Source organism: Homo sapiens, chromosome 4 (genome assembly GCF_000001405.40).
Source record: "Homo sapiens chromosome 4, GRCh38.p14 Primary Assembly".
Lineage (NCBI taxonomy): Eukaryota > Metazoa > Chordata > Mammalia > Primates > Hominidae > Homo > Homo sapiens.
This window is the reverse complement of record NC_000004.12, coordinates 46,952,724-46,980,682: the sequence shown is the minus strand read 5'-3', so window position 1 is coordinate 46,980,682 and position 27,959 is coordinate 46,952,724. Positions and strand designations below refer to the sequence as shown.

General features: G+C 34.3%; 1 protein-coding gene across 3 annotated transcripts in view; it reads left to right on the top strand.

Annotated features, from left to right (window-relative positions):
• The window catches only part of GABRA4 (gamma-aminobutyric acid type A receptor subunit alpha4), a 74,682-nt gene that overhangs the window by 12,899 nt on the left and 33,824 nt on the right, over positions 1-27,959 (top strand). For 2 of the 3 annotated variants that reach the window (NM_001204266.2, NM_000809.4), the window contains exons 3-8: positions 1,585-1,652; positions 3,053-3,273; positions 3,540-3,622; positions 6,308-6,451; positions 9,448-9,600; positions 15,454-15,713. In NM_001204266.2, the coding sequence (NP_001191195.1) occupies positions 1,585-1,652; positions 3,053-3,273; positions 3,540-3,622; positions 6,308-6,451; positions 9,448-9,600; positions 15,454-15,713 (929 nt within the window). The remainder of the gene's footprint in view (positions 1-1,584; positions 1,653-3,052; positions 3,274-3,539; positions 3,623-6,307; positions 6,452-9,447; positions 9,601-15,453; positions 15,714-27,959) is intronic. The other variant, NM_001204267.2, reaches the window with a different exon arrangement.

The following is a 27,959-nucleotide window of genomic DNA, read 5'->3' as shown; positions in this document are numbered from 1 at the left end:
ATTTTTCATTCAAATAAAAATTTAATTAACTTTTCTGCTTTCCATAGATGTAGTCTTGAAAACATTAAATCTCATGTTAGCTAAGCCTGATTCAGACTTTTTCTCTTACTATACTGCCTAAGGCTCTATTTTTCTTAGGATACTTATTCAGTAAAGAATTTTCTCATTCTCCCTCGAGCTATCTTTCTTTGTGTGGATCAATCTTCATTCTTTAGAAGAAGAAATATTCAGATTCATTTTTATGAAGATAACTTTGGAGCTAAGGAATTAAGTGATACCAATTTCTCTCTGCCTTTTTTTTTTTTTTTTGGCATAAATCGCATTTCCCAAGCAAGAATCCAAGTGAGAGATTATTTCATCTTCATAGCAGATGTCATTCTTCCCAGTTACGGAATATCTAGCCTCTGGCTATACAGTACTATAAACCATTGTTTAAGGAAGTTATGTTCAAGGGCAACAATTTTTATATTTTTGTTGTATTAGAATGCTGTATTATGCATAGTAATGACTACTGTCATTATTGAGCACATTATGTTCTAGAGACTGGGACAAATGACTTACAAGTATTATCTCAATTAATACTCATTAATATCTTTACCTATGAGGATATGTGACTTGAAGATGATATTACTAGAAGATGTTAGAACCAAATTTGAACTCCAAACTTTCTGATTTTAAGCTTCATGCTAAACTCAGATTGTGTTAAACCCAGATTGTGTTCCCTTGTCTAAAATCTGTGTCAGCCATATTGTCATTATGCTCCCACATTTCTCTTCTGCCAAAACACCAGTGTGCTTCTTTACGAACTAGTCTTATTTAGATACGGGAAACAGTCTCAGTAGTGGCCACTGTCAGAAGCAAAGGGAACCTCACATGGAATGAGTACTTTCATGAGAGAGTCGTTTTGCTGAGCATCTTATTTCAGCAATTTCATTTGATCGCTATCAAAATCTTGCCTGATGGTTGTGGTGGCTACTATTGAGGAGTTAAATAACTTGCACAAGATTGTACAGCTAGTAGGTGGCAGAGTGTAAGTATCTGTCACTTGTAAGAAAGTTTGTCTTTGATCCCAATCAGCAGTGGATGGTGTGCTTGTTGATAAAGGTGACATGAATCATTTTTAAAATTATTTACTAGTATCCTCAGCTCTCCAAGGATACATTCCTTACAGCTGTTATGGTTTTTCTCTTCTTTGTTGCTGTGGCCACACTTCCCCTTTTTAACAGCTCACTTCTTTATTAGAGGCCAATCAGATGATGGACTATAAAATATCGCAAAGGTTAAAAGCTTTTGTGTCTCTGCATTGCCTGTTGTAACAGTACCCAGGGGTGACGTATCTTTGAAGAAACAAGGTTCCTGGTAAGTAATTGGGGTTTCTTTTTGCCTGTAAGTAAACACTGCTTTCTGGTCTTGTTGCGCTTTGGTCTACATTTGTTTTGTAGAGATTCATTATCTCACTGAAAATGTAAGATGCTTGTAAAAACATGATATATCATATCTGTATTTACTCTGTAATTATCTAACCTTCCCAGCCTGTAAAATTGGTAATTATTTTTTCACACTTATTTACTTCATACCCGTTAGGTCCTGTTACAGAAGTGAAAACTGACATATATGTCACCAGCTTTGGACCTGTTTCTGATGTTGAAATGGTAGGTATTTTCGAAGTTTAATGTACCTTTTGAGACTTGAAGAAAACATGTAGAAAAGAGGGCAATTAATATTTATTTTGTTGTCAATCACACAAAGCCAGAAACCTAAAGAATCCCTAATTAAACTTAAGAATGTATGAAGAGTAAGACATTGAATCTCATTCAATTTGCATTTCAGTTGTAACATTTGAGTACTTGTTGATTTAGGGTCATTCTAAACAAAGAGAAGAACTTTCCTATTACTGGTTCCTATAGCACAACCTAGGGTGCAGCTTTTTTGCTTTCCTTTTTACTTTTCTTTTCTTTCTTTCTTTTTCTTTTTTTTTTTTTTTTTTTTTTTTTTGAGATGAAGTTTTGCTCTTGTTGCCCAGGCTGGAGTACAATGGCGGGATCTTTGCTCACTGCAACCTCCATCTCCCAGGTTCAAGTGATTCTCTTGCCTCAACCTCCCAAGTAGCTGGGAATGCAGGCATGCCCCACCGTGCCTGGCTAATTTTGTGTTTCTAGTAGAGATAGGGTGTCTCCATGTTGGTCAGGCTGGTCTCGAACTCCTGACCTCAGGTGATCCTCTCACCTTAGTCTCCCAAATTGCTGGGATTACAGGCATGAGCCACCGTGCCCGGCTGTTTTTTCTTTAGGAAACTATTGAGGAGGAGAAAATTAGAGGTGATAATTAGTTTCAGTATGAACTAGTCGTGTACACTATTTTATAGTTTTCATTATATTTAGTATTTCATGTTGATCTAATTGCTTGCTGCCCATCCCAGCCCTTCTGCCTCCTTCTCACTCATGTTTAAGAGCTTAGAATACGAAGCACTGGTCAGGAAGAATTCATCCATACAGTTGTGCTCTCTTATATTAAATATATTTAGTTTGCAAGACAAAAAACTTACTTTAGTTTATTCATTGATTTAAAGCTCCTAGTAATTTGAAACCCTTGAGTTATTTGACTCATTTTAATAAACTTTGTGAAAATAAAATATCTCTTACACATATTATTTTGTCTTTAAAATGCCTACAATTACACGATTAATTGTGCATGATATTTTTTACACTTTAACTGATTTTTGCTATCTAGTCTAAAGTAAAACACAATTGTAACTACCTGGTACTGGCAGTTTTCTTAAATTATAGCAAATTTATTATTAAATTATTAGTATGTGTGGTAATTTATTTATCTTATGAATGTAGAAGATGAAGGTATCAAGATGGATAAAAGTTATTCTAATTGCTGAGAATCTTTTTGCTCCATTGATTCAAGATCATTCCTGCTCCTATTAATTTTATTTGGAGTGGTATTTTTTTATGAGCATGAAGGAAGACAGAATTTAATGCATTATTTTCACATACTTATGTGTAGTCATTTGCAACTTAAATATGTTCCAAAATAATTGTCCTAGGAATACACAATGGATGTGTTCTTCAGGCAGACATGGATTGACAAAAGATTAAAATATGACGGCCCCATTGAAATTTTGAGATTGAACAATATGATGGTAACGAAAGTGTGGACCCCTGATACTTTCTTCAGGAATGGAAAGAAATCTGTCTCACATAATATGACAGCTCCAAATAAGCTTTTTAGAATTATGAGAAATGGTACTATTTTATACACAATGAGGTAATATTTTTTTTTACTTCTTCCCTTCCTTTTTTATTCTTTTCTTTCTTTCCTTTCCTTTCTTCCTTCCTTCCTTCCTTCCTCCCTCCCTTCCTCCCTCCCTTCCTCCCTCCCTTCCTCCCTCCCTTCCTCCTTCCCTTCCTTCCTTCCTTTTCTTCCCTCCCTTCTTCCTTCCTCCTTCCCTCCCTTCCTTCCTATTTTAGAATCTAAAGTCACAATTATTCTTTAAAAGGGTTGATTTTATTTAATTGCATTTTTCATCATAGACTCACCATAAGTGCGGAGTGTCCCATGAGATTGGTGGATTTTCCCATGGATGGTCATGCATGCCCTTTGAAATTCGGGAGTTGTAAGTTATAATAAAAATTTTGCTAGAATTTATGATTACCTCATGCAAGCTAATATTTACACATGTATTTTATTTTTCATAATCCAACATTTAAGTCATGGTCCATAACAAAAACTGTCCGGTTTTATTTCTGGAGATTTCATTAACTAATATTTTATAATAAAGAAATAAAAACAACCTCCTTTCCCCACAACAAACAAAAACCTATTTATACAGATAATCTAAGTAGTCTTAGTCACAATTGGCTGGTGATCAGTGGTGAAATTTAGGGACCTCTGAACTCTACATGTTGGTAGTGTTACACAGAAAGTACAAATTATATAGATAAATATATATATAATTGATATAATTATAACACATATCACTTCAGATAGATAGATAGATACATAGATAGATATATAGATATTCTATTGTAAGCAGTCCTTCATAGCTAACTTGGAAGAAGTCCATAAAAGGTTCAGAGCTTCCTGACACAGTATAGGTTAAAATGACAGAAGCAGCACTGTTAGCATAACAGTGACTGAAGCATGGCAAAAGCATGGTAGGGGTGTGGTCTGAGTTAATATAATGCCTTATACAGCACATTAAGGAGTTTGGATTCTATCTAAAAGCTATGGGAAGCCTTTGGAAGGTTTGACAAAACAGTGTAGCTTTCTTTGACATTTTACAGTTCCACTTCCGCTTTTTTTTTTTTTTTTTTTTTTTTGAGAATGGGTGGTAGAGAGGCTGGAGTGGAAGCAGCAGAGAAGAAATGGAGGCTGTTGTTTTAGTACAAGCAAAGATGGCAGTGGCTTAGACTAGGATGGTACTAGAGAGGAAAGTGTGAAATAGATATGTTTGGGAAATTTTGTAGAAATGAAGGCAACAGGATGAGATGAATGGATAGAAAACAATATGAGATTCCTTCCCTTAAGCTCCCTTCTCTGAGATGGCAGCAAAATGTGATTGCCTTTTCTAAGGTCTGCCTCACATTTTCAATTCAATCAGAATCTACTAAAAATAGATGCTGGCTTTTACTATTGCTTCAGATTCTTAGTCGCACTGATTGTGAAACTGTTGCCTGCTGTTATCATCGCTCATTGCTTAACTTAATGAGAATCGGCAGTCACTATTCTTTTTATAACCCCTAGTAATCACAATATTCAGTGGGCTAACTTGAAGCCAGAGAGTATTATGTTCTCTTACCAATAATTTAATGAGAGAAGATAAAGGCAGAAAAATACATAGACAGGGTGATCTCATTGGGGCCAGAATTAAAATCCATTTGTGCTGTAATCATTCAAATTTTACCCAAATTAGTTCTCATGTAGAGGAAGTCCTTTTCACTCCCCGCATCCCAACCTCTAGTTCTCAGAAAAAGCTCTCTTCAGAAGGACTTGAACATAGTTCGTGTTCAATCAGGGTTTGTATAAAATAAAGAAATTGCACATTGGAAGCTGATGTTTTTGGATTGGGAATTAAAAAGAGAGGCACACCATACTCAGCAGGTAAGGATTTTTAATTAATCTGGAAAGAGGAAGAAAACACAAAACACTATTTAAAACCCCCATGCTTACAATTCAGAGGAATTAGAAAAACCAGGAAAGAAAAAGGTTATTCTAGCAAGGTAGGGTAGCCAAAGGAAGGATACTTAATTTGCAATATCATAGACAAGAACATAGTATACAGAGGCTGTAACAGTTTACTGAAGTGTGAATATATTTCTGGAAATAAATGCTGACACATAATATAACTGAATGGTGCTAAAATGACAACACAAGCCTCATAGTTTGTTTCATAAGGTGCTCTTAGGTGTCAACTCCTTTTGAAGAATTAAATGATTCCATTGAGGACCTACTATGCTATAGCCATTTTAGGATGGTTTGGAGGGAGGTTGGCACACAATTCATTTTGGTTCTTTTGAACTTACTTGTGTGTGAGCCAAGCTGTCTGTTATGGGTAGACTGGTAAGCAAGCAGCTGTTCTCCATTTGCACAGAGTGCCAAATAATAGAAAATGGGCTTAAATTGCCACCGGGAGAGATTTGTTGAAGATGTAAGGGGAAATGTCCTGATTGTAAGAAATTAAAGGTAGTGGAATTGGTTGTGTAATTATATTCCCTGGACAGCTTTACAAACAACATAGCCAGTTGTCACTGTACAATGGTCCCCAAACACAGTGGATATTGCCCAGAGGCAGAGTTTGGAACAGGTGACCCCAGGGGAGCTCTCCTAACAGTAGGATTTGTTTGGTTTTGTTATTGTATTATTACAGGCAGCATTTCTAAATAGCAGAACTGTGTTAGGATGGTATTGGTCAAGCATTGGAAGTGAGTTAGAAGTACGGCTTTGGGAGTTCAATATATCTGCTTTTGAACTGTTTATCCTACTGGCATGGACACACATCCAAGTGTATTCATGCATATGTAGCATTTTAGATGCTTCAGTTTTAATATCTCCTCCTCCTTTATTTGGCATAAAAAATAAATACTGTTGAGTTGCAGGGGTATTTACTTAGTCTCTAGTTTTCTAAATCTTAAAGATGTTTGACTAAATTATAGTGAACTAAATTATAGTGACTAAATTATAGTGAACATTGTTTTCATTTATTCCATCTTTCTTGAACAAGTACTGTTTTTAAGTGTTGACCACTGATGTGGATGAAAAAGGAGCATTGACTCTAACCACATTCTGTGCTCTCTTTTAGATGCCTATCCAAAGAGTGAGATGATCTATACCTGGACAAAAGGTCCTGAGAAATCAGTTGAAGTTCCGAAGGAGTCTTCCAGCTTAGTTCAATATGATTTGATTGGGCAAACCGTATCAAGTGAAACCATCAAATCAATTACGGGTGAGATGTGTAATGATTAAAGCCGACATGCTACTTGGTGTTAGCAATAAAGTTTTCTCCTGACTTTTTCATTGAAATAGTTAATTTTTTCAGGAGAACAACAAACATTTTCCAGAAATAGAGTTGATGCATGAGTTATAGCTCATAATTTCTTTATATTTATAATCTTACTTTAGTTTAAAATAAATTCTGATTTAGTAAGATGCTAAAAGTGAGTTGGTTTTCTTATTCAGAAATGAAAGCCAGTAATCAAATATGTTAAAATTATTTTCACAAAATTATGTGGTAGGAAGTCTGATCTTGTTTTTTGTCTTTGCTTTGTTTCTGCTTTCGGTTTTTGATGATTTTTGTGGGGCTTTCCAAAAATTTTCCTTTATCTTGCCCAATTTTGTGGTGCCACTTTCTCTCATTTTCTGAAAGTAAACAAAAATCTAAAACTTAATTACAAAGTATATTATGGGTATACATTAAGGTTATCACATGAGTAGGGGGGATGTTTATTATTTATGATTCTTGGTCTCTCTTTTCTTTTGGAATGTGAATAGGAAGAATTATAGAATTTAGTTTTTAATCATATTTAGTGGAAAAATTAGCTGATTATTGCTTGTTCTAAGACTGTTCCTTACATACACATATCACCAGAAAAAATATTTTTTATGATAGTTAACTTAGTTTGTTTGGGCCATTGTAACAAAACAACACAAATAGGGCGGCTCATAAACAACAGAAATTTACTTCTCACAGTTCAGGAGGCTGACAAGTCTAAGATGAGGTGCAGTCAGATTCAGTGTTCAATGAGGACCCATTTCTTCGTTCACAGAATAGTACCTTCTATGAATAAGTCCTCACATGGGGACCCCAAAGGTGTAGGGAGTGGGTGCTCACACTGGGGCCTCTTTTATAAAGGCACTAATTCTATTCATAAAGGCTCCACCATCATGGTTTAAACACCCCAAAGCCAACCTCCTATTATTACATTGGCTATTATGTTTCAACATCTGAACTTTGAGGACCACAAACATTTAGACCATAGCAATAGTTAAACTTTATTCAGCAATCACCATCTGATGGGCACCCTTCTAAATTATTTCCATGTATTTTTTTCTCATAACCATCCCATGAAGTGGATACTACTATAACATTTATTTTATACACGAGAAAGGTTTAAGTACAATGTATTTGCCTAAGTCATACAGCTAATAACTGGCAAAACCCAAATTCACATCTAAGTGTTATGACTTCTGAGTTTGTGTTCTTAAAAGGTGTTGACTGCGAGATAAAATGCTAAGACTGCATTAGTAGAAAATGAGTAGTTTTAAGATCTGGAGCAAAGATGTGAGGTAACAAAGTTTTTTTTTGTTTTTGTTTTAAGAAAAAATGGATAAAGCAGTGTTGTGAAGGGATGATGAATCTAAAATAGTCAAACTGAAAGGCAGTGAGAGGAATGGTGGTAGTCAGGGGCCTCCGGGAGGAGGAAACAGCGAGGTATTAGTCAAAGGGCATAGTATTTCTGTTCTGTAAGGTGAATAAATCCTAGATATCCACCGCATAGCAGAGTGCATATAGTGAACAGTACTGTATTGTCTACTTAAAAATTTGCTGAGAGAATAGGTCTCAAATGTTCTTATCACAGAAGATAATAAATAAGAAGGAGGGAACTTTTGGGGGTGATGTATATATTTGTGGCATAGATTGTGGTGATAGATTAATGAGTGTATACTTATCTCCAAACTCATCAAGCTGTATATATTAAATATGTACAGCTTTTTGTATGTCAATCATACCTCAAAAAATTGGTTAAAAATTAAACATAAATAAGATAAAATAGAAATTTATTATGGATAAATAAAATTAATACATAAGTCTTTGTTTTTAAAAAGGAATTTAGCCCACTGTCTCTTCTATTAAAACTGCTTTGTATAAGTCACACACTGTCTTTGTCATAAAATCAATGGCACTGCTCCTCTCTCCTAAATTTCCATTACTTTTATCTTTATGACACCTGTCATGACTATTATCATTTTGAGGAAACCTTCTTCACATCAATTATGAAACAATACAGTAGCTTTCTAAAGGGCACCTTGCCTCTCATCTGTCCAGGAAAATTTATTTTTGGAAGGGCATTTATTTTCCAGTCTGCAAATGGGATTTAGAACACATCTGGTAGGATGTGAGGTTTCTGAATGCTGGCCTCATGGTTTGTGAATAAGGCCACTGCTTCCTAGATAACTTTCTTCACATATTCTTTTCAGAGGTAACAGTAAAAACACTTATCAACAGCTACCAGAAATCTTATGGTTTATTGTACTTATTAGTTTTTCAGGTTTTTGTCTAAATGCCAGTAAAACATGCTTGAACTCAGGGGTGTTATATATGCCTGTATGTTATACACGTCTATATTTTTCTTCATATAAAGAACATTTAGAAATTCACCTCTTTCCTAAAACTATGGTAGCCTCTCTCTAAGCTTGTGACTGTGTATGAAATCTATATATGAATGAAATTTAAATATATTTATATATAAATATGTATATTTATTACTTTCTAAAATTAAACTTTATATTTTCATAAATGTGTGTGTATGTGTCAGTGTCTGTGTATGTGTAACTGTGTGCATTTCTATTTTTTTCTAGTGGTTTTTCATAGAAGATAGGTCTAAATGCTGTTTCTAAAAAACGCTGAAAATGAAAGCTAATTGCCTTAGCAATATTAGACCATCAAAATAGAAAGCACTACAGAACATTTTTAAAAGTTTTAGCCCAATTTGTTAAATTGCTTAATCATTACACGGAACAAAGAGTTTTTCTGTATAATAACGTTCAATATCATTTTCTCCCTCGTTAGGAAACTACATACTTATTGATGTTTGTGTAGCTATGCACAAAAGAGAATTTCTTTCCTTAGAATCCTGTTTGTTAGTCTGAAATATGTTTATGAAGCCATTGACTAATTGCCTGCAGAACCGATAACACATTTTCCTCCTGTTTTCTTGGCAGGTGAATATATTGTTATGACGGTTTACTTCCACCTCAGACGGAAGATGGGTTATTTTATGATTCAGACCTATATTCCGTGCATTATGACAGTGATTCTTTCTCAAGTTTCATTTTGGATAAATAAAGAATCAGTTCCCGCTAGGACTGTATTTGGTAATTGCAATTCATTTCTTGGGCGTTTTTGTTCACATTACATTTTATTCATGATTCATGGGATATTTCTAAGAAAATCTTAAACCCTAATACATCAGGCTATCCTGAATAAGGAATCACATGGCTTTCATTTTTATCTAGCCAGTACAAAGTAATAAAGCTTGGGGAGATTTGGGCATCCTTCCTTTCCTCTGGGGCCAGGCATCAGATTTCCCTTGTTGAGAACCAGACAGGCATAGACCAAATGTGAATCTGGACATAATCTCACTTTCAGTGATATTCTTGGGCTCCTAGTATAATGCTGTGTAATTGAATTAAAATTATATCTCCATGTTAAAAAGAAATGCACTGGCAGCTTAAAATAAAACAAATAAAAGTCATGGCTGAATGAATATGAAAGCCTTAGAATAATTTAGCTTTTAATGAAGAGGAACAAAATGCAAACGGTTTAAATGCATTGAATTGGAAGGTATTATATGCTTAGTTTATAAGCTCATATATTTACTTACTTCTTTTTTTTCTAAACATTGGTTTTTCTTTTTGTTTTTATAGTGGCTTCATATATACTGTATAGTATTCTGAACAATATAAAGTTCAGAGCATATGAGTTTACAATTTTTATAAGTTAATGTGTTCTACATGTCAGTCATGCTTTTAAATAGTATAATTTGTTATAATTATATTTATTTTAGTTAATGTCTTTCTCTATTCTTTTTCTGTTCATTGTGAGTAACAAAAGCATTCAGTAGTAGAATAAGAAGGAAAATGATCAGAATTGCTCTGGAATGGTGGTGTATTCCTCACAAGAGTGCCAATTCCTCTTTGATTTTCTACCTAGTAGGATCACAGCCATGGTATAATATCCTTTATCACACAATAGCTGAAGAGATGCTGGTGCGAAGGAACTAAATAGAACGGGAACTTTTCATCCTACCTCCCCATCCTTTTCAAGAACTATTGATTAGGGTGTCTTAGTGTCCTCAATGGATCTGAAATACTCTAAAGACAACTATCCTCCCTTTAATCTTAGGTTTCTCTAAGAAGGTGTTGGAGTATGAGGATGCATTAAAAAAATAGAAAGAAAAAGTACTGGAAGTATACTGGAGAAACTCATATGGGGGGGCAATGGTGGAGGGAGGGTGTGATCTTAGGAAAGCAGTGAGGAGGTATAATGGTACCTTAAAGAGTTATAAGGGTTCAATTAAAGAATAACTGCACAACTCAAAGTGTTGAATAAATTTTAGCTCTTAAATATAAGTTTGAAAGCAGAAGAGAGAAAAAAACAAATCTAAGCTGTAGGTGTCAGCAAGTCTAGGTTTAAACCCAAATCTGCCACTTATTTTCTCCATTCATAAAATTATGATAATACATCTCACCCTCATAGACTAGTGAGGATTTAAAAAGTTATGTATCGTTCTCAATATAGGGTATCTGGACCACTTAGTTCGTATTAATTACTTTCTCCAATACTTCTCTTATCTAAGGAAGATAGATTTTGTTCAGACTTAGTTTCCTTGACTTTTAAGTGTTTTAAAGAAAGCATAACTTTCTAGTGTTGTACTATTGGATGCTCTGCTAACTTCTTGATGTTCATTATCTCATTTAACACTCAAGCTAATTTTGTGTCTTTACACATCATCTTTTGAAGCACTCTGACTAGGCAAGAAGTATCTACTGAAACTGAGCATCCAAAGTCTCTTAACTTTTTTCTTGTACAAAAAAATACAAATATTTCTGGAGCTACCCTCATTAAAAATTTAAAGGAAAACCCAGAAGTTTCTATTATATTTTACGCATAAAAAAACTCATGTATACATTTTTTTAAATGATCCTAAAGAGTGTGTAGAACAGCAATTAACGATCCATCATAGGTGCCTGTAATCAAGAGGTGATAGTGTCATAAGTGCAGAATGTGGAGGCAGAAAGCCTACCTTCTAACCAAGGGACTATCACTTATTAGCTGTGGACCTTCAATAAGTTACATTTGCCAGCTTCCTCATGTGTTAAAACAGGATGAATGATTGCACTTACCTCACAGGACTGCTGTAAGGATTAAATGAGTTGATTTAGAAAAGCACTTGAAATAATGCCTCACACATAGTAAATATGATTTAAGTGTTATTTATTAGTATGGCATTCCATGCTGCTGTCTACTTCATTTGAGAATTATTACTTGATAGGTTAATGTGACTGTCTGCCATATATTATTATTATTGTGATGACTTGATAACCTTTTATTTATTTCTTGATTGATTACAACATGACAGGTACTGTTCATCTCACTTGTCCCAAAATAATAGAAATTTCCAGTGGTGTGGGGAAGGCTAGTATTGATTACAGCTGTACTCACCCAACATTTCCTATCCAAACAAGATATTTTAAGAAAACGAAGTAGCAGGAAGTAAGGATATTAGTATTACTAGTACCAATGATAAACAGATTTGCCAAATATTGTTAACCTTAATAATTACTCAGCAAGGTAGTCATTATTTTTATAGTTAAGGGAAATGACTCAAACATATTAAGAAACTTGTATAAAATCAAATTGTAATTGGTGGACCCAAGACAATTTCTGTCTAACTTTGACAACTCAGTCAGTCTGTCTTCACAGGAGGTGTGGGGATGTGGGGGCTTGTGGAGAGTTCCAGAACTGCTGAGTGAGATTACATGGATATGTGCTAAAGATGCTTTGTGGGTGTTTTTTTTTTCATTAGAAATTTACCCATCTTTTGTGCCCATGTGCCAAGATATTGTTTTCAGTTGAGCAGACAAATTATGTCTGTAATTAAGTCTTCAAAGACCTAAGATGTGTCAGATTGATAATTATTAGACTATCATTGAGGGCCTATGAAGGTACTTTCTTAGAAAAGTTAAGTTTTAAGTATTTAGGAGGAAATTAGCAAGCTATTTTCATATGAGATTTAGGTAAATATTAATTCTGGGCAAATTTTTTTCTTTCCTAACTCTTATTTCCCTTTCCACTCATAAGAAGATAATTTGTTGGGTCAGAGACATCATTAGAGACTGTGTAAAAACAAAGCAAAAAAAATCAGTGTAATAAAAGGAGCAGAGTGTCCTAAAAATCTCTCCAAAGGCCTTCTATCTCCAAAGCTGTATGCCTCTAAGTTTTCTAATTATTCCAGTATAGTAAAACATTAAACACAAGTAAATGCCAGCTGGCATATCTTAATCATTGCTATTTCATTTTCTAGGAGTGGCCAGCCAAAAATTCACTCTTGTGTACAGTCTTTGCCTACTCTTACACATCCTCACTCAGCTTCTGGGCCAGCCAATATGGTGCATATTCAGCATGCTAAATGCAGGGAATGGCATCAATAATTGGATATATTTTTTAAAATATGGCTTTTAAATGTGTTCAGGGTAGATGCCGGCTAAGCCATACACGACAGATGAATTGTCTTCCTGGATGCAGAGGAAGCATGGATTCTTATTCTGAAGAGTTGGTTTCTGTTTGCTATTCCACTGGTTTTCATAATCCACCAGTATAATAAACCAGTATAATCCACATCACCACTTAACTCATGAACCTGGTGATCTATCCTCCTAAACAATTGGAAAGTAATTACTGAATTTATGGGTCAATAACTGCATTAGTATTCTGTTTGCTTGACATTGGTAAGGACATTTATTCACATGATAAGAGGAGAAGATGAAGAACACTACTTCTGATCACCAAGAAAAATAGTCCTATTACAAAAAAAAAAAAAGTTCAAAGTAACATAGGGAATCTTAAGTTGCTTGTATTTGAATTTGGGTATCCTTTTTGGTTATCACACTATGGTGTGTGTAGAATTTTCTGAGTACTGAGTAGTATTATTATTTATACTGCACTGTTCATATTTTATTCTAACTGCTTTTAGCATTGTTTCTATGACATTAGAGGAAAAATATTGCTTATATATCTGAGAAAGTTATAGAACATTTTTGAATTCTTAATACCCCATTAAATTTAAATTGTTATGAACAAGAAAAACATTTTCATCTATTGTCAAACGTAGCTAAAAATTTTCAGTTATTTTATTGTTTATTCATATATCTCACAGCCAACATGGGAGTGGTGCCACTTTTCTGAGATTCAAAATGAAGGCCTAAATGTTCCAAGGTCCCTTTCTGAAATAAAACCCAATAAATTCACAATATAGCATTTTCATAGATATGCAGATATTTATATATTGAATAAACTCATTTTATAATCTATTTTAGACTAATAAGAATGCTAACAATGTCACAAAATATTTTTAAAAGGGAGTACAACCAAATTCTCAAGTTTCTTTCTCTGTATGGATTCTCAGATCTTTATAAATGATGTGTAGCTCATGTGTTGCACAGTTGCTCCAATTTTTCATGTTCTAAGCATTGAAGATTTAGAAGAGACCGAATTTCAGAGAAAATGGATTGGTGAGGAACTGGAAAAATGAGTTTTTATTTCCATGCATTTATCTTGTGCCTAGCACCATGTGACATATTATAAACCTGAAGCAATCTTAGGCTTGTCTACCCTCAAGAAGACTATGGTTAATAAAGCTGTGGAAATGAGGATTACACACCTGTATCAGTTAAGGAACAGTAGTAGGCAGAATACAACAAAATTCTGAATTGAGGAGACAATATTATTTTCTCCAAATCAAAATACCTTATTCCTTTAATATTGCATCGGACTCATTATTTCTTTGGTTGAACATGCATTATTTGCCTTTCAGCTGGGGATTGGCATGGATTACAATATGCAGTTTAAATGCCTTCAACATCATTGTTCTATTATTATCATCATCACCATCCCCAAATGTGTTGTGTGTCAACTTCAGGAGCTATCCTAGTCATTATATAGAATCAGTTTAAATGGATGTAGCAAATCCTCACAAAAATTTCCAGACTTAACTGCATAACATGGATTAGACAGACATATATAGATGCAGAAATAGACAAGAGTTCAAATATTAACATTCTTAAATAATGTGTTACTCTATAGTACCAGTGGCAAGGAGAATTTTTCTGCTAAGAGTGGGAACTGACATTTTTTCCAAGCTAAGGAGAAAGCGTTCCTGGATGTGGTGCTTCAGAAGCCTATTGATGGAGGAGAAGTACTTCTGTTCCTTTTGCAAATATTTTCCAGCCAGTTGTAAACTGATGGGTGGTAAAGGTCCAATATTTATAATGCCAAATTGCTCTGGAAATCTATTCGTCCAGTAATATAACTTTATTGTTTTATAAAAATGAGGCTTCTGCACAACTAGTAAATTTAGTATTTTAATTCAATAGATAATATTTAAAGATAAGAAAGACCTATGTATAATTCATGCCTTTTCTGGCAGTGGTTCTCAATAGCAGTGGGCCATGCTTAACTCCAGAAATTCTGATGCTCAAATTTAGGAGGCCAGTGTTGCTCACTTTCCATTCCTGGATGAGAGTCAGTGCTTCAGTGAGTTACTCTTCCTGAGAGGTGTGTGTCTGTTGAGTCCGTTGGGTGTGTTGGCTCAGTTTCCAGGATCATCCCACTGTGTGCTACGTGCGTTACATGCTTTTAACCTTTATAGAAAACCCAATCAGTGGGTATCAAATAAAGCCCAAAGAATTTTCCAAACTCAAGGCAGGACATATTAAGCCAATTATGAGAAAAACTAGGATTAGAACCATATCTTTCACTCCAAAGCCTGTGCTAATTTTATTGAACCACTAAGATTCCAATTCTCCATCAAAGATGGTTTTCTTTGAGTTATTGTAGTTTTGTTAACCCTATTCCACATGATTTTCTAGGTTTTTGTTGGTGGTGGCGGTGCTTTTTAATACAAATGATGGTAAGGTGTTTTGTCTCTCTGCTCTTTTGCTTTGAAGGAATAACAACTGTCCTCACCATGACCACACTAAGCATCAGTGCACGACATTCTTTGCCCAAAGTGTCCTATGCTACCGCCATGGACTGGTTCATAGCTGTCTGCTTTGCTTTTGTATTTTCGGCCCTTATCGAGTTTGCTGCTGTCAACTATTTCACCAATATTCAAATGGAAAAAGCCAAAAGGAAGACATCAAAGCCCCCTCAGGAAGTTCCCGCTGCTCCAGTGCAGAGAGAGAAGCATCCTGAAGCCCCTCTGCAGGTATTTGACTTAATCCACCTTCAGTTTAAGATTTTAGCTTCTTGGTCAAATTTATTTTGTCAGGGAAACAAACTGAGAACTTAAAAATCCTGATATCAACTTGTAAGTCATTTAAAAATACAGAAAAACATAAAAGTAACTGTATGAGCTTAAACTTTATGTTGGTGATTAACAGCTTAAAAATTAAACAGCTGTGACAGAGCTAGATGTAGGCGAAGCTAATTGTTTGAAAGTTTCTTTCGGAGTTACAGGTTTTTTTTACAGAAAGGGGCAAAATCCCATGTATACTATTAGGAGGAACCTGTGGACATCTTTAAGTGAGTTGAAAAAACATTTTAATAGAGTTCATTGTGCAAAGCAAAGCAGCAGTTAGTTTTTGTTTGTGTCTTTAAAAATTGCTTATGTTTAATTTTTGTGACTACATAATAGATGCATATATTTATGAAGTACATGAGATGCTTTGATACAGGCATGCAATGTGAAATAAGCACATCATGGAAAATGGGGTAGCCATTTCTTCAAGTATTTATTATTTGAGTTACAAACAGTCCAAGTACATTCTTTAAGTTATTTCAAAATGTAAAATTAAGTTATTATTGGCTATAGTTGCTCTGTTGTGCTATCAAATAGTAGGTCTTATTCATTCTATTACTTTGTACCCATTAATCATCCCCATCTTCCCTCCACCAAACTCCCGCTACCCTTCCCAGTCTCTGGTAACCATCATTTTACCCTCTATGTTCATGAGTTCAATTGTTTTGATTTTTAGATCCCACAAATAAGTGAGAACATGCAAGGTTTATCTTTCTGTGCCTGGATTATGTCACTTAACTTGATGATCTCCATTTCCATCCATGTTGTAGCAAATGACTGGATCTCATTCTTTTTTATGGCTGAATAGTCATTCACTGTATATATGTACCACATTTTCTCTAATCATTTATCAGTTTATAGACACTTAGGTTGCTTCCAAATCTTAGCTATTGTAGACAGATCTGAAACAAACATAGGAGTGCAGATATCTCTCTGATATACTGATTTCCTTTCTTTTGGGTATACACCCAGTAGTGGAATTGCTGAATCATATGGTAGCTTTATTTTTAGTTTTTTGAGGACTCTCCAACTGTTCTCCATAGTGGTTGTACTAATTTATCTCCAGTGTTTGCTATTGCCTGCCTTTTGGATATAAGCTATTTTACCTGGGGTGAGATGATGCGTCATTGTAGTTTTGATTTGCATTTCTCTGATGATCAGTGATGTTGAGCACCTTTACCTATATCTGTTTACAATTTCCATGTCTTCTTTTGAGAAATGTCTGCTGTATTAGTCCATTTTCACACTGCTGATCATGACATACCTGAAACTGGGAACAAAAAGAGGTTTACTTGGACTTACAGTCTCATATGGCTGGGGAGGCCTCAGAATCATGGTGGGAGGTGGAAGGCACTTCTTACATGGTGATGGTAAGAGAAAAATGAGGAAGAAGCAAAAGCAGAAACCCCTGATAAGCCCATCAGATCTGGTGAGACTTATGCACTATCACAAGAATAGCACAGGAAAGACTGTCCCCCATGATTCAATTACTTCCCCCTGGGTCCCTCCTACAACAAGTGGGAATTCTGGGGGATAAAATTCAAGTTGAGATTTGGCTGAGAACACAGCCAGATCTTATTATCTATTCAAATTTTTGCCCATTTTTGATTGGATTATCAGATTTTTTCCTATTCAGTTGTTTGACCTCTTTATATATTCTGATTCTTAATCCTTTGTCAGATGAATAGTTTGCAGATATTTTCTCCCAATCTATGAGTTGTCACTTCACTTTGTTGATTGTATACTTGGCTGTGCAGAAGCTTTTTAACTTGATGTGATCCCTTCTGTCCATTGTGGTTTTGGTTGCCATGCTTCTAAGGTATTACTCAAGAAATTTTTGCCCAGACCAATGTCCAAGAGATTTCCCTCAATGTTTTCTTGTAATAGCTCAATGGTTTGAGGTGGTCTTAATTCATTTTGATTTGATTCTTGTATATGGCAGAGATAGGGGTCTATTTTCATTCTTCTGCGTATGAATAATACAGTTTTCCCAGCACCATTTATTGAAGGGACCGTCTTTTTCCAGCTGTATATTCTTGGCACCTGTGTTGAAAATGGGTTTGCTTAGGTGTGTGGATTTGTTTCTGGGTTCTCTATTCTGTTTCATTGATCTATGTGTCTGTTTTTATGCCAGTACCATGTTGTTTTGATTATTACAGATTTGTAGTATAATTTGAAATGAGGTAATGTGATTCCTCCAGTTTCATTCTTTGTGCTTAGGATATCTTTGGCTATTCTGGGTCTTTTGTGGTTCCATATACATTTTAGGATTGTTTTTGCTATTTCTGTGAAGAATATCTTTGGTATTTTGATAGTGATTGCACTGAACCTGTAGATTGCTTTTGGTGGTATGGAAATTTTATTAATATTGATTCTTCCAATCCATGAACATAAAATCTTTTTCCATTTTTTGGTGTCCTGTTCAATTTATTTCATCAGTGTTTTCTAATTTTCATTATAGATATCTTTCATTTCTTTGGTAAAGTTAATTCCTAGGTATTTAATTTTATATGTGGCTATTGTAAATAGGATTACTTTTTTGTTCCTTTTTCAGATTGTTAACTATTGACATACAAAAATGCTACTGATTTTTGTATATTAATTTTGTATCCTGCAACTTTACTGAATTTGCTTATCCGTTCTAATAGTTTTCTTGTGGAGTCTTTAAAGCAGCAGCTCTTAACATGGCCACACATTAGAACTACCCCATGGGGCAGGGTGGGGCCTGTGCCTGTGTATTAAAGAAGAAAACAAAACCAATAAGCAAGAAGTTAGATAGTTGTAGTAAATGTACAGTCAAAATTAGGAATTCTCGACCTGAAGGGATAGATCTAAGACAATGTGGAAAGCCCAATAAAAGCTATTGTATTTTACATTTGACACATCAGTGAGTCTGTGATTTAAAACAAACAAACAATTAAAAAGTATCTTTTTCTTCATGGAGTCCAACTGTACAAAAATAGTCAGATCCTCATAAAAACATAGAAGCAAACAAGCAGCGCCCCTCTCACTCTCTTTCCTCTTCTTCCTCTTCTTCTTCCTCCACTACTCACCTATCTCCTTCTCTCTCTTTCTCTCTCACTATCACTCTACTCAGCTTCTTTTTTGAACCAGCAGACAAATGCCTGTGGTCACTTAAATACAGTCTATGGTATTTGCCACATATGGTAGTCTAAGACTCCCTTTGTTTGCATATACCCAAATCAACACGTATATAAATCATCAACTTTATTTCTCTATAGATAACAGATCGGTCCCTTATTCATTCATTAATTGATTTATTCACTCATTCAACAAATATACATTTGTGCCAACTTTGTGCCCGATTTCCTGTTTAGAATCTGTGAGCCGATAGTGTACCAAAAAACAAATATCCTGCCAGGTGGAGCTTACATTTACTTGTGTGGGGCAAGGGAGAGGAGGCAGACAATACTGAAAAACATAAATAACAAAACAGGTGATGTGTTAGATAGTGATAGGGCTATGATAATAGTAAAGCACTAAAGGGGACAGGAAGTGCGGGAGGAGGATGAGGAGGATGGGATTCTGTTCTCAGAGAGATGCCAGCTGAAGAAATTAGGTTAGGCATTCACCCTGGCAGGGATTAACTGGTCAGGGTCCTGCAATTTATAGCTCTGCTCCTACAGGGCACTGGGCCCTTTAAGAATGGCGTGTGTGCAGGTGAAAAATTAATATCTTTCCACTAAGTAAGTTTAGATAGTTTATATTTTCCTTTAAATGAATCAATTTCATCACGATTTTGAAAATCATCAGAATGAATTTTACATACTATTTATTAGTTTAGAAAGTAGTGATTGAGTATGCAGTTTTATTTTCTTTCCCATTCCCCATAGGTAAATTTATACCCTCTGTGCTTGTTGTTTTATTTTGCTTTGCCTTGTTGTATTGAAGCCATGATAGAAGATTCTTGTCATGGAAACTTTCAAAAACTTGAGTCTTGAATTTATTTATTTATTTCATTGTTTCTATTTTCTAATTATTGAGTCATGATTGTATTTGAATTCCATCTTTCTGCAAGTTAGTTTTGTTACTCCTTTTCTAGCTCCTTGAGTTTGCCTCTTATTAGTTTATTTTCACTATGTTTTATTTAAATAATAAATTTTTCTTATTGCAATAAGATTTCCTTTGCAAACAACTTTGGCCATAATTCATACCTTTAGATATGTAATATTATTATAATTATTTGCTAAATATTCTATAATTATGTTGCTACTTTTATCTGTGAACTAAGAATTATTTGGAGATAATATTTTCAAATGGGATTTTTGAAAACTTCATTGTTAATTTTTATTAGTATTGCATATGTTCAGAAGTATTACCTATACAGATTTGAATGTTACAGATATTTTAACTGTGCCCTGAGCTATGCTAAAAACTTATAAATGTTTGAAGCCAAATTGAAAAAAGTTAATTTTTGATTATTAAAACAATTTTACTTAAAATATGATTTCAGCTGTTTAACATATAACCTTTTATTATCTTGATTTTTCAAATACCAAGAAATATTTGAAAAATTCTCCCACTGATTTTATGAGATCATGTTAATTTTTTTGCATTTTATTTTTATTTTATACATTTTAATGCTATGATATTCAACATGTAAAGACACATAACTGCTTTATTTCTATATCATTCCAGGCCTCTAGTAATAAAATAAAGTTATTGTTTATTCCCATATAATGTTTTTTCCTCAAATTCTATTTGATCTGATTTTAGTACTTTTGATTTTTATATTTCTTAATATTAATTTTGCTATTATATTTTTATCACTAAAATTTTCCTTATTCTTTCTTTCTTCATGTATTTTGGAAGTTATTTCATATTTGTATATCACTAGTAGTTAACTTTAAGTTTTAAAACAATGTATTTCAATTTGTGATTTTCTAATAATGTTGAAATTATAAAATATACTGACTGTCTCATGTAGCTACTAACACTCCTCAATGCCAGGATTGCTGTAGGTCCACGTATTCCAGTTTTGGAGACACACTCACACACACACATACACACACACACACACATATATATATATATATACATAATTTTTGTGTTATAGTGAGTTGATAGAGTTTTCTTTTCTTTTTTTTTTTTTTTTTTGCAAAGTGATGAGACTCATTATACTAGTGCTATCATGGAATATTCTAAACACTTCAAAGTACTACTTAATCAGAATAAAACCATTCTGCTGAATTTCCAAAGATGGGAAGAGAATTGATAATCTTCCATGGGCTCCCTGAAACATACTTCCTGACTACAGCAATTGCCATTACAGTAAATGGTTGGTTGAGCTCATTCCATTGGCTAAGTTCATTCTGATTTAGTAACTCCTTTTTCAGCATGATCCACATGCTGTGTGCAAATGGCACATCCAAGGTCAAGAAGATCAAATTTGGTTGTGAAGGACATAGGATTATACCATTTAATCATTGGGAAAGACTTTAAAATAAATATAGTCAAAATTTGCATTATATGCTTCATATCCTCTACAATGTGTGACTATGTATGTGTAATGACTTAGATCTCCACAGTGGCTTACTTGAAGACTATCTGTGGTCTAAAGACAGTGATTAATGGGTTGGCCCACCCATCCTCCTGATTCTAGATCCCTGCCAGAGTGCAGCTGGTTTTACAGTATCACTTGTCATCAAATGCCTTCAGTATCAAGTACAACTTTAAAGATTAAGAACACATCAAAATTAAAGGACAGAGAGAGAAAGAGAAATAAGAAGAAAGAAATCAAGAAGGAAAAAGTATGTTAAGAGCAAAATGTTACAACGTATAACTAGAAAGAAATATTTATTCTAAGAATTATAAGTTTTGAATTTCAGTAGAGATTTCAATCAGGAAGCTGAAATTTGCTTATTCAAATATGTGTTCCAACTTGTAAAGCTATTTACTTATTCAAATGATACTGCCTTTGCTTAAAATGTGTTTGAACTCCTCACTTTGAATTGTCTTTAGAGTCTACATGACATTTGGTATTTCAGTAGACCTTTGGGTAACTCACTGGTAGTTTGATTCATCATCACTATATGTGACCTATGGACTGTTGTTGATAACCTGGCACAGGCTTATGGTGATCATTTCGGTTCTTTGGGAATTGGAATAGTTCATGGAATATTCATGAAGCAAGGAGAAAAGTCCAATTGGTGGAATCTAAAAGCATCTATGGGTAGCTTGAGTATGTCTTTGGGCGTCTCAGAAGGCAAACCAGCTGTTCTGTTTCTGCTGATTATTACCTTGATGCTGCATTTGTCCCTGTTCTTATTTGAGTTGAGTCTCATTCTTGTGGTTCTTTCCTTTCACATTCTCATTTCTTAGAGTACCTACTCTCTCATGGATGCAGGTGATTTGGATTAATAGAATAATTAGAAAAATAAACAACTATAGAACAAAAAATAAAGCTTTCTTAATGAAATGATATTTTTAAAAATCACTTCAATCGTATATTCTTTAGTTCTTATCCAGCCACAAATTATGCATTAATATATGCACACTGTATCTTATGAAAAAAATCAGTGATATAATGAGATGGCTAACATTAGTTATGTCAGGTACTATATAATGTGCTTTATGTGTATTACTCAATTTCAAGCTCACAATAACTATTTTACAGATGAAGAAGCTGAGGTTTGCAGTTGTTAGGTGATATATTCAATATAACACAGACAGAAAATGGTAAACCTAATATCGAAATTAATTTGGCTCTGTCTGAATGCAGAGCTCTTTTTCTTAAACACAATTCTATGGCATTTAATATTTAATATCTCTATTAAGAATAGACATTAAACTGTATGTATTTTATATACATATAAATGCACACATATACATATGATGCATGTATATATGAATACAGAAGATAATAAGCCCAATATAGAATATTTTTGTTCATATTTCTATGAATAATTAATAGCTTAATATTCTGAATGCTTTCTATGTACCAGTAATAAAAACTTTTACATTTAGTCTATACTTGAATTCTAACAACTTATAAAATATGTTCTATTTTTATCCATGTTTTTACCATTGAGTAAATTATTAGTTAATGATCAAATAATCTTCCCAAGGTCACCTATCTAGTAAGTGGCAGGGCTGAGACAGGAAGCCTCATGCTTTTAAGCTTCAAGACTTAATGACTGATTGGATATATTGGGTGAGGGAAATGGAGGCTGAGATAGATGGTGGTGGCATCAATCACTAGGATAGGGAAGAGAGATGAAGCACATTTAATGAAGAAGCAAATTAATTCAAGTTTAGATAAGTGGAGATTTCCATAGCAGGACAACTTGTCCTTTCCCATAATAACGACTTTCTTTTTTCAAAGTTCAAGTGCAAAATTCTCTACTGTATGCATCTCCTTTTTGATCTACCTAATTGCTATTTCTCTTTATTTCCATTTTACCCTAACCATAACTAGTCTTCCCAGACTTTTCAATTTTAAAGTCCATAGATTCTTACAATTCTATTTGCAAAAGTAAAGAGCTATTTTCTCTGCTTAGACTCCTTAAGAAAAGATTATGTTAAAAAAAGAATGTATAAATAATAATTCAAGTACTCTTATGATAATTTTTTTTGTATTTATCCTTCAAAGTCAAACTGTAGCCTTATTTTCTTTTGGGGGCTCATTCTGACCGAGCTCTAGGATCTTGAGGATATGGCCTTAAGTATTCGGATCCTTAAAGTGGGGGTAATAATATAATCTACTGGAAAGGCTTATAATAAGGATTAAGTTATGTCATTCCATAAAGTACCCAGTACAGTGCTTAGTGACCAGTAAATAGTATCTGTGATTATTACTTTTTATTTCTTTAGGCATCTTAAATAAAGTATGCATGAACTCATTTATCACTTTATAATATTCTGTGGCATTTTGCTTAATTGTTTCCTATGTGATTGCTGTACTTATTTAGCGCTATGGCAAGCTCATTAATAAAATGAATTATAGCTTCATACAGCACACTTATTTTCCCATACAGCACATAGCATAATGCTTAACAATTACAGTTGTTTATTGGTTGGTTATGAACCAACTATAGGAATCTGACAATAGGAAATGTGGTACTTTTAAAAAGTAATATATTTTTCCCCAGTTTTCAAAAAGTGAGTCTTTGATGGCAATTTTTTTTACCTGAAATAAATGTGAGCATAAGGCACATGTTAAGTGGTGAGCCGCAGCAGGATTTCTGTGACCATTTAGGACAGCAAATACTCATTCTTAGCGTTCTGAGTCACATTTTCAGCAGTTGGACTTGGCTGATGGGCAGAAATAGAGAACTGAGGACACTTTGGGGGAAAAAAAAGCAAAACAAAGAGGCTCGGCAAATCTACGCAAACAGCTGTGCATTATAAGGAAAGAGTAGTTGGCTATCATAATATACAAGCTTCATTCCATTCCTAAAGGGTATATAAACTAGGTCAGTTTCAGATTTTCACTTCAATCATTCTCAAAATTCCTCTTAAAAATGCTGTTCTTTAAATAGTTTAAGCTAACATGCAACAAATCTTATTTTATTCATTTGTCCTTATTTCTTTCATTTTTAAACTTGGTTTTGGGCAGTTTGAAAAGGGACATGAGGCAGTACCGACAATTCATCTGACATTTAGGTGTGTTTATGACAGGAGTTTAGTGACATTCTTTAAATTTTATATAAATAAGTACCTCCCCAAACTCATACCTGTTTTAAGTACAGAATGTTCTGTAATTAGTAATGCTCTTTAGGCAATGAGTGATTGTTTAATGCACAATTACTAAATTGTATGTTTTAAGTGCCCAATATATTAGAACTAACTATGTTTCATCTCCAGCCATTTTTTATGTTAGTTTGGTTATTTTTCATATGTAGAGAAATGATATGCTAAGCATTAGAACAGATCTCAGCTACTCAGATAGCAAGTGTTTACCAGGCAACTATTGTGAAGTCACCTGCAAAGCACTGAGGATTCAAAGACAAAATCTAGGAACTTAGCCTTATAAGAGAGACAGGCTATTAATCTTGTTAGTGGCTGTATTTACTATATAAAAGTATGGTCTGAGTATTAGTTTTAGAATTCAAGTATGTTTGTTCAAGTATTCAAGTATACTTACTGCCAGATTTTTACTGCCACCTTAAACCTGTCTCCTGAAATACAAACCTTTATATTCAGTTACATACTGGGAACCTGTTATATTTATGAAATACCTATCAACTGTCAGTATGTTGGGAATACTGTGCTCCTTCCTTCATAGATATGAGGGTGGTAGGAATGATAGTCATTCAACAATTAATTTAAAATAAATAGTGACAAAAATGCTGTGAAGGAGAGGTAGAAGGGGTAATAATACATTGTAGCAGAGTTGAGCTTCAAATTACTCTTTGAAATGCGAAAAAGTAATAAATTAAGTATTACCATTCAAAATGGCAAAGAGAAGAAGAAATCAATTTTAGCAGTTTATTGAACCAATATTTTGCATATTTTGGTAATCATTGGCAATAATGTCACATGGAAATAAAAATGCCAACATTCGCATCAAAATTGAAGATTTAGGTTCTTTCCTTTTCCATAAAAGGAAATGCCATAAGTTTAGTGTTGCATTAAGAAGGCTATGTATATTAACTGGTGATCAAGGAGGGAGTAAGGCAACATAGTATAATATGGTAGGGTGTGTATGTGTGTTATGTGGTATAAACATAGATGATATAGATGAATAGTATATTTGTTCATTTATTTTCATGTGTTCTGTGTTTATAAATAGCATGGCAAATGAAGAAGCTGTGAAATGTATTTAGCATAGAATTTAGAGAGCAGCATGTCATCAACATCATCATCATTTATTGAGTACCTACTATGTGCTACATACTGTGCTAGTTGCTTTACATGAATTATCTCTAATCTTTATAACAAACTCTGCCATCTGTTGTTATGTTGTTATACACATAATTTTATGGTTGAGCAAACTGAGCCTTGGTATTTTGGTAAGTTGCCTAGATCATATGTGTAGTAAATGGTAGACTTGGATTTGAGCCCTGCCTGTTTGGCATCAGAAAGCTGGATGGTTTCAGATTCATGGTGCTGCCTCTCACCTAGAAATAACTGCAGGCAGGCATTAAGGGATTTTGTCTCTCTCAGTTCTCCAGTGTAGTGTAGCTTTAATCACACAACCTAATACTTAGGTTTCCATTTCTCCATCTGTTAAATGATGAAGTGAGGCAAGATTATGTCTAAATTCACATCTAATTAAAAATGTCTGTATTAGTACAAACTCATCCATTCTTTGTAACTAATGCAAGTTTGCTCTGCACTCTTTTTTTTTTTTTTTTTGGATGGCGTTTCACTATTGTTGCCCAGGCTGGAGTGCAATGGCACGATTTTGGCTCATTGCAACCTCCACCTCCCGGATTCAAGTGATTCTTCTGCCTCAGCCTCCTGAGTAGCTGGGATTACAGGCGCCTGCCACAATGCCCAACTAATTTTTTGTATTTTTAGTAGAGACAGGGTTTCACCATTTGGCCAGGCTGGTCTCGAACTCCTGACCTCAGGTGATCCACCAGCCTCCGCCTCCCAAAGTGCTGGGATTACAGGAATGAGCCACTGTGCCCGGCTCTTTAACAAGTGCTTACTTTAGTACAAATGATGTATGAAGAGCTGATTAGAGGAAGGATGGCTCTTTGTGGGGTCACTGAGTCAGATCAAATTAAATATTCAGGTTATTTTATACTCACCTCTACAGCAGAAATCTACACTGCTCCAACAGCAATAAAAACATCAATTATACTGTGCTTATTACTTGCTGGAGAATATTTTAAGCACTTCATGTATATTCATATAGCCTTCACAGCAATACTTTTTACAGATGAGAAAATTGAGGCACAGAAAGGTCTAAGTGATTTGCCCAGAATTACATAGCTGTTAAGTAACAGAGACCAGATTTAAACTTGGGGGTCTAGATCCAAAGTGTAGGTTCACAACCACTACAGACTGTTGTCCCTCAGTTATAACCCATCACAACCACTGCTGAACTCTGCTGTGTCCCTGGCCCCATACTTACTCCCCAACTATCCACAATTTTTCTGAAGATTGTCTTAATGTTTACATTGTTAGAAGTGTAAGCCATACTTTGAAACTCTATCCCATTTATATACAAGCCATACCCTTAGTCAGTGGTTTGGTTTACGTAGAAAGCGGTCAGAGAAAATTAATCACATTTTTTAGATCATCTACTTTTCATAAAATACATGTGGATTTTGTCAACTCTAAAAATCACCAATTAATTTTGCACAGTTATTTTAACAAATTGTAGACTAACTAATCCACAGTTTTCCCAAAATGTTGTGACATTTTAAACATTTAGAAAACTTTAGAATATATTACCATTATTTTGATTTGAAATAATCTATTTTATGTGCATCAACATATTCAATTAACAATACTTATTTACAACATCTGTTGTTTTAAAAGTGGGAAAAATTTCCAAGAAGTTTAGGAGGTAGTTTTTGCCCTGAAATACTACATCAGGAGACAGAGTATAGTGATATAAATAATCCAGAGGAACAGACACTGTATTTGGACCAAGGGACACTACAAAGAAGCATGCTGAGCTTTAGGGGGTGAGGGATGCTGGCAGAACTCAGATTGGTGGTGAGGTGTATTTTATTGATCGTCAGCAGATAAAGGAGAGTAGAAAGGATAAGCCAGCTCATTATTATGAATATCATGAGTTGGTTTGTAATGTTTATGGTCTAGCTTAAGAATCATTCTAGAATTGCTATCTAATTTATAAACAATTACCATATTATTGGAATTGTTATTACTTCTCCATTTACTCCGTCACTTCCCCAGCACATCTGGCACATATTTCCTAACACATAGCCAGGTGCTCAAGAAATGCCTGCTGATTGATTTCATTCCTCATATAACTGAGATATAGACATGGTTGCTGGTGATAGCAATATATGAAAAAACTACACATTTCCATTGGTGAAATTTTGTTATTAAAAGGTTTTTTTCTGGTACTTCAATATTTTATTTATTTTATAATCTTTTTTTTCCATTTATATCGCAATGTGAGTGGGCCAGCACTTCTTTTTAGAATGGAAAAAATCAGCTTCAAAAATAAACAACTGCTTTAAACAACTTTCCTCAACATTTAGTTAT